This window comes from Homo sapiens, chromosome 15, assembly GCF_000001405.40.
Source record: "Homo sapiens chromosome 15, GRCh38.p14 Primary Assembly".
NCBI classification, from domain to species: Eukaryota; Metazoa; Chordata; class Mammalia; order Primates; family Hominidae; genus Homo; species Homo sapiens.
The window spans coordinates 89,442,640-89,450,668 of NC_000015.10; the positions used below are offsets into that span (position 1 = coordinate 89,442,640).

Consider the following 8,029-nt stretch of genomic DNA (forward strand, 5'->3'; position numbering starts at 1 on the left):
AGACTCTAGGTCCTAGGCCTCATGAGGCCCTTTGCAGGAGAGCACCCTGGAACAGGGAGCGTCAGTTTCTGCATGTGTCAGATACCAACCTGCCTGTTTTAGGGGCTGTTGTGAAGACTGAAGGGAAGGAAGGACCTGACAGCACCTTTAACAGGCCCCTGAGGGGCTGTGCTGGGCTAAAATCGGGCCTTCCCCCAATTCCTAAGCTCTGTGCCCTGCGAGGGCTGCATCTGCCCCAAGGGGGCGCCCTTTCCTAATCTTCACAAAAGATTTGCAGGGGCCAGCAGCCGAGATGGGGCACAGGCCCTACCAGAAGAGAGGATGGCCTGCTACCCAGAAGCCCTTGGGGACTCCCTGGGGTTAAAGCACCTTCCCTGGTGCAGATGTTTGTCAGCTCTCAGAGGCAGGCGGAGCCGGGATCCCATCCCCAGTGGCAGATGAGAGGCCTGGATGACCTGCGCAAGAGATCCGTGCGTGGAGGTGCGGCCAGCAAGTCCCGGGCTATGCTCCACGGTCGCTCCGGGGTCTGCACATCACCTGCCCGGGTGGCAACCGGTTGAAGGCTTCCAAATGTCCGACACCCCTCTCGATCCTCCAATCCCAGCTCCCCACCTGCCCATCACCCCATCACTAGGAAAGGAGGAAACAGTTAATAAAGTCCTTATTTCCATCACGTTTGCCATTTCCTGATCTAAGTAGAGTGTCAAGAGAGCGACAAGCTAAAACTGCTGATTACCGTGGCTTCAAGGCAGTGATCAGTGAAAGGCACTGGTCACTGCCTGTTTTGGGTGCCTAACCCTGTAATTAATCAGCATTGGTGGGGGCGATAGGGGGACCAGAAGAAGCTAGAGGTAGGTTTGTGCAGCTCACACCCCAGGAGGTGGCAATAGGGCAATTAAAGACACAGACGCTCTCCTCCCCTCAGCAGTATGGTAGGTGGGTCTGAGGATGGAGGAGGCAGGGACAAAGGTACAGTCACCAAGAAATCAGTTGGGTTATTTTGATTTCCAACCCAGGTTGTCAGTCTGTGCTTAGGGTCTTCTCTTCCCCCACTCCCCCAAATCCCTAGGGTTATCATTCAATCCAATTTAGAAGCCTGCCCTCTGGGGGCCTAAATGTTAGAACAGATGAGGCTCATAGAGACTCACACACACAGAGCCATTTAATCCGCCTGGCAGGAGGGACTGTTTATAGAGGAGATTTCATTTATTTTACTCCCAATATCGAGGAGGCTTGGCGGGGAATAAACCCTTCCTCTAGGTAGGCTGGTAAACTTTGCAACTTGCTTGCAAGCATGTTTTGAACATATGGTATCATAGGAATAAGGATAGCCTGAAGCCTGGTTCCAGCTCACACTTTTCATTTTTTCACTCATCCAAGTTATTGATTTCGTCGGCACTTGTAGCATCAGGCACACTGCAATCTGGATTGGGGTTTCTGGCATTCCTTGCAGGATGAGCCCCAGGAATGGTCTCTGACCGCACGGCACCAGCCTGCCACTGGTGGGGCCCCCTTTTTCGTTGGGGCTGTTTTCTAGGATCCAGCGTGCCGCCAGCCAGGGCTCAGGAGGAGGCTTGGAGCTCAGATCTGGATCTCCTGGGTGGGCAGCAGTGCCCTCCTCTGAGGCAGAAGTGTGCCCTGACCTCTAGGTGGCCAGGGTAGGGAAGCTAGCCCTTGATCTTCTGACCTGTTAGCCCCCTGAGGATCAGTCAATTAATCCACTAAAGCTTGGTTGTTTTTATTTGACTCCTAACACTGTTGCCCCACCAGTCCCCTTTGTATACCCTAGGGGCTGAGAGACCAGACAAGACTAAAATCCACAGAGGGGTCAGAGGGGAGGGCCTGGCAATTAACCCTGCATCCTGAGCAGGGTGGAGTCAGGGGTCAGTGGGGGTGGGGAGGGGCCGACCACCAGCTGCCACGCCCAGGAGGAGGCCTCCCGGGACACCCACAGGTGGGATTCCAGGCAGGCCCAAGCTGGGGAGAGACAGGGGCCTCTGAACAGCTTTTTCCCTTGCCCACACACCAAGGCAGGGCCCATCCTGCTCCTGCCCAGGCCCCTTCCTGGGGTAGGACCCCTGCCCCCCACTCCATCTGAAGCAGCAGCTGATTCCCTCCCCTGCTGTCCCTCCCCCCTCCACCCTACTTTCTGAGGAGAATAACCTGTGATAATTTTTTCTTCTTCTTTCTGGCAACTAATGGACTCCTTAAATAGCAAAAATTGCGGCCTGTAATTAAGATCTTGCTTTTTAAATGATTAATCATTGTAACCCCTTTGAGCAGCATCCCACTTCCCACTCTTCTCACATTGAAATGCAGATCGTTGGCAAGGGAGGGAGGTGCTCCCAAGCCACTGAGGAGCAATTAAACCTTCCCAGCTGTCACTCGCCTGCCTCGTCTGCCTCCCCGGCCTGTCCAGACGCCTAGGAGGGAGAGCGCAGGGCCCCTGCTCACGGTGGCGCCAGACTCACCAGCAGCCTGGCTGGGGGGCACCGAGCCGGTCCGCCTCCAAGCCTGACCCTGGCTTGCCCTTGCGTGGCAGCCCACAAGCTGGCTTTCGGACACTCCCAGGAAATCAGATCATGTTTGCTGAGCACTTGCTAGGTGCCCACACTTTAAAAGATCTCATTCAATTTTCACAATAGCCACCTGAGAGAAATGTGAAGATGCCCATTTCCATAAAGGGGCAAGTAGAGGCACAATTTCACACAATTCACAAGTGGTCATATCAGGATTTCCAACAAGGACTGGCTGATCCAAAACCTAGCCTTCATGTAGTTGGCAGGGGGTCATGGGAGACCTCACTGAACATGCATACACACACCACACACGCACGCATGTGCAAAACTCTTCACCAGCTTGCAAAGGGCTCTCCGGGTTGATCTCTTTGAAGCCATTCTTGCAAACAAGTGCCATGATTTGTCAGCCTGTGGAAGTGTTTCCAAGCCTTCTTCCATTGATATATACATGCAATGACAGCACAATTTGGGGGTGGTAGGTCATTGGAGCTAGAAGGAAACTTGGAATCCTCAGAGTCCATACGCCTTCTTACTCAAGAGGGCACTTGGGCCTGAATATCAAGAGACTTGGCCAACATCAAAGGTCACATTTGCAGCTCTTAGCAGGTGCCAGCTTCACAGTAGGCTCTCATGGATCTGTTGAATAGTAAACATGGAAAGATGTACTTCTTCCTTTAGGGCTCTACTGTTAGTTTTTTCAGAAGGGATTTTTGTGTATTTGTGTGGTGGTGGCAGGGGTTTGGGGGCAAAGGAGCTCCATCCTTATTGACTGTTTCTGAGAAGGGGCAGGAGAGAAAGGGAGACAGTCACAAGCATGAACAGGGCTTCTGTGTGTGGTTGTGCAGACCCCTGCACAGATGTGCTGGGCTAGGAAAGTTGGAAAGGCCTTTTCGCTGCTGGCTAAGCCAAGATGTGTGCATGGCTTAGTGTACGCCTGGACCAGGGCTGGAGGAAGGGGGAAGGCCAGCATGCTGCAGAAGGAAATCCCTTCTCGATCTCCGACAGAGAGCTGATTCCAAAAGAAACCCAGACCAAAATAATCAGTGACCCCCCCTGGTTAAGATCCTAATGATAGGCTGTGGGTTGGGGGCAGCACCTGCTGCCTATAGGGCAATTTGGCAAGACTGGCACCATTACGAATGCATATAAGCGTTGGCCCAGCAAGCCCCATTTTGGGGCTTTATCCTACAGGTACACTCATACTGTGAGAACTCACTTATGTGCAAGACTATTCGTTGCAGCATCATTTGTGAAAAAGGTCGGAAACCACCCAGATGAGCCTCAAGATAGGATGGGTTCAGGCGAAACCATGTAGCTGAGTAAGAGAATGAGAATGATCTCCTTGCTCTGATAGAGAAAGGTTGCAAAGATCCCCATGACACTCTACCATAGAGAAAAACAGCATGACATAGTGCACTATGCCACCTTTTGTGTGAAAATAAGAGTCACGTTTGCATTGTCATGCATTCTTCTTTGTACATGTTTACGTACAAAGAAGCTCTGGAAGGACACATAAGAAACTAATAACAGTGATTATCTTTTAGGGAGTGGTGAGAACTGAGCAGATGGGTGACAAGGCCATGAAGGAGACTTCTCACCGCAAAACTTTTTTTGTACTAGATGAAAGTATTAGCTATCCAAGGCCGGGGGCAGTGTCTCATGCCTGTAATCCCAGCAATTTGGGAGACTGAGGTGGTTGGATTACCTGAGGTCAGGGGTTCAAGACCAGCCTGGCCAACGTGGTGAAACCTGTGTCTACTAAAATACAAAAAACTAGCCAGGCGTGGTGTTGGCTGCCTGTAATTCCAGCTACTCGGGAGGCTGAGGCAGGAATCGCTTGAACCTGGGAGGTGGAGTTTGCAGTGAGCTGAGATTGTGCCATTGCACTCTAGCCTAGGTGACAAGAGTGAAACTCTGTCTCAAAAAAAAAAAAAAAAAAGAAAGTATTAGCTATTCAAAAGGATTAATATGAATGATCTTATATGTCCTCATAGATCTGGTATAGGCTTACTTACAAGCTCCTAGAAATGTCACCCACCCCCAGCAGATGGTTCCCATTCTCTTAGCTGTACATGCCCACCCCAGTGGGTACACACTGTCATAGGAGGTGCATGCCCTGAGACAATACCACTTGTGGCCTGGCCGTGTGAGTGTCCAGGGCTGAAGGCAACGCTAAGCCTGCTCTTCACTTTCCTTCCTCAGGGGCATCCACCCCAGTTTCCTTGGCCTTACTTAGCTGGCCTCACATCAGGTCTCACCCAATCATCCAGACATGGCTGTGGCCCCTCTTTGTCTTGCACCTCCAGAGTATCAGGCAGGTTCGTGGTCTCTGCCTCAACCATATGTATCTGTGACACATACACACGTACAATCACATGCACACAGGCTCATACACAACATGCACTTGTAAGCACACAGGCACACGCAGGCCTGGGCCCTTCCTCACATTACAGATGCCTCAGCCACAAGCAGGAACAGGGGACTGATGGGCGTGATTGACACCCAGGAGAGGAGGAGCTGGAGGAAAGGAGGGAGCTCCCCCTCCCTCTGGGCCATTGCCTAACACAGTCCTGGTCCAAAGTGGGCACTGAGGCTCCACATTCCCCAGGACTTTGGGGAGTAGGTCAAATGTGAGCTCAGGAGGCAGGCCACCCCAGGTTGGAACCCCAGCCCCACCGCCTGCTCCCGGTGTGCCAGGGCCTGCATCCTTACATTGGCAAGTCTAGAAACCGAGGCACGGGGAAGTCAACTGACTTGCTGAAGTCCCCCAGCCGGTGAGCAGTGGAGCCAGGATTATATCTACGCAGGCTGGCTCGGAGGCTGTGATCCTCTTCACACCTCTGGCTGCCTCTAAGTCCTGTGGATCGTGGGGCTTCCTTTCAGCTTTCTGGGGCCTTCTAAACACACCTCATCCAAGATAGGGTGAGAAATGGGTGCTTAGGAAGCAAGAGGGTTGTTATTAGGGCCATTTCTCCTCTATAGCCCCATAAGAGGTGGCTCACTGGCTTTTGTTCAGGGTCTGACACATGGTGGTCAAAGGGTCATTGGCCTGGTCCTGCTGGGCACGTTTCAGGACAAGTGCCCCTGGGTGCACGGGGTCCTCAGGAAATACCTTTGCTGCCCAAGACTGCCCAGGGATGAGGTCTCCTGAGGCAAGGGCATCCCAGAGACCACCACCATTTAGAAAGGGGCAGCCCAGTTCACCATGCCCAGAACCAGTGCCCTATCCTGGGTCCTCATGCCCATCATGGCCCTGTCATCTCCTCCCAAGGTGGCTCTAAATGGCACAAGCCCTTCTGTCACTCTGAAAGCGCAAAACCAGGAGTGTGGTCAGGTAGAATTGTTTCCGGCTGCAAGTAATTGATGGACAGGGACTTAATGCAAACGCAGCCTTATTCATCTCACATGGCAAGAGGGTGGTGGGCCAGGGTTGGCCCTGTGACTCAGTGATGTCAAGGAATGGGCTCAGCTTTTCTGGTAGCCGTGGGACTTGAGTCTGAGGTTTTCTTTTTGCCTGTCCCCTTACAACACATCACACCAGCCCATCAGGGATAGGGACCAGTGAACCCTAATTCGTTACAGCCAGGAGCTGTTGGAGCAAGGAGCGAATTTATCATGGATGAAAGCCTGGGTGGGGAGCCTGGTTAATACAGGGGATTCATGTGTCTCTGAGCTTGCACCCTCCCCACCATCCTGGCCTGGAGGAGAGGGAAAGGGAGGTCAGTGGCTGCTTTCTCTCCCCACCCCCACCCGCATTCCAGGACACCTCCTGGAGCTGTACTGCGCACTGGGCCAGCCCAGCCTAGACTGTTCCCATCCTCCCTGGGTGTGATGAATGCCAGGGCTGCTTACAGAGTCACAAATTAGGTTGCCAAAGGCATCCCCGGCCTGGCCTGGAAACACCTCCCAGCTGAAAGGAGGTGCGTCTGGGCTGAGCAGACGTCTTTATTCAGCTGTAATTGATGTTTCACAGACGTCTGTAACTCCGTCTGGAGGGACACAAAGCGCCCCCACGCTTGGCCCGGGCAGCCTCTTTATGTCGCCCCTTTTCATCTGGCAGTCAAAAGTGTAGGAGCCGCCTGGGCTCTCCTGCTTGGTCCCTGGGCCAGGACAAAGGCGGGCGCTGCACACAGAGGCCACCCGGTGGGCCTTTACCTCCTGGAGTGGTCTATGCTAATCTAGCGCCAGCCCAGACCCCTCCTGCATATCGATGGGCGGCAGGGACCGCCGCTGAAACAGGCAGAGCCCTGGCTCACCGGGGAAGGGGTGGCTCCCAGCAGTCAGACCTCAGTCGGTGGGTCCACCTGAATCCAGACTCAGTTGGCTGAGATGGTGGGTGAAGGGACCTTGTAGCGGAGCAGGGGTTCTTAGTCCGGGACCCAGCGCCCCCAGGAGAGAGACAGGTTAACCGCCGAAATCACAGGCACTTCTATGCACAGGTCTTTTTCTCTAGGAAGAAGCTCCATATCTTTCATCAGGTGCTCAAAAGTAAGTCCTACCAGGCACAGTGGCTCACACCTGTAACCCTGGGGCTTTGGGAGGCTGAGGTGGGAGGATCGCTTGAGCCCAGGAGTTCAAGATTAGTTTGGGCAACATAGTGAGACCTCATCTCTTCAAAAGTTTAAAAAAATTAATCAGGTGTAGAGGTGCACATCTATAGTCCCAGCTACTGAGGCTGAGGTGAGACGATCCCTTGAGCCCATGAGTTTGAGATTACAGTGAGCTGTGATCATGCCACTGCCGCTGCACTCCAGCCTTGGCGACAGAGTGAGACCCTGTCTCAAAAAAAAAAAAAAAAAAAAAAAAAAGTAAGTCCTACTGCTGCTGGGCTCACCCAAACTCCCATTTTACAGATTAGAAAGCGGAGGCCCAGAGAGCAGGGGCGTCTTGCCCAATGTCACATGAGAAGTTGGTGGTAGCACTTGGGGTCTTTACTTCTGCTCAAAGACTCTCTCTGCTTTGCCAGACACCACACAGTTGGGAGCTCACAGAGGACAGGCAGGTTACCACAGGGGGTCATCCAGGTTCTCCGAGGAGGGGCCAGGGAGACAAGGGAATTTGCAATGATCTGCCAGGGTAAGCCCAGTGGTGCCAGACCCTCAGGGGAAAACTTAGACTTTTAAAAAAATGGGAGATTTGCCAATTAAAAAACACTGATTCATAGCTTGCAGAGAGTAGAGTTTGAGACTTTTGTGTTTTGCCTCACAAGGGAAGCTCCGGTGCGGCCACACAAATCCAGATTCTCCCTCTGTCCCCCTTGCCCTGAAGCCAGAAGAGGGCTGCAGTGCAGAGCTGGTGCCCAGAAACTCATGCCAGTTGGCCGTAGTGCCCTGGAGCAGGCTTGCAGCCCTCTGACTCTGTGGCTTCTGCTTTCTGTTGTCAGTCCCGATTGAGATGCCCCATCTCCAGCGACTGCAATTCCTCGCCTTTCCTGAGCCCTGCTATTTCCCAGGCTGGAGGCAGAAGTGACATGTTAGTGGCAGGGTGTGCTGGTCCCTGCAGGGTGCCCT

The 8,029-nt window shown here is 53.1% G+C and overlaps 2 annotated features.

Moving 5' to 3' along the window:
• Positions 2,146 to 3,000: an enhancer, noted in NCBI's record as "H3K27ac-H3K4me1 hESC enhancer chr15:89988016-89988870 (GRCh37/hg19 assembly coordinates)". NCBI's record gives its function as "activates a minimal SCP1, AML or CMV promoter by ChIP-STARR-seq in naive H9 embryonic stem cells {active_cell/tissue: H9 hESC(naive)}" and the evidence as "EXISTENCE:reporter gene assay evidence [ECO:0000049][PMID:30033119]".
• Positions 6,002 to 6,596: an enhancer, noted in NCBI's record as "H3K4me1 hESC enhancer chr15:89991872-89992466 (GRCh37/hg19 assembly coordinates)". NCBI's record gives its function as "activates a minimal SCP1, AML or CMV promoter by ChIP-STARR-seq in naive H9 embryonic stem cells {active_cell/tissue: H9 hESC(naive)}" and the evidence as "EXISTENCE:reporter gene assay evidence [ECO:0000049][PMID:30033119]".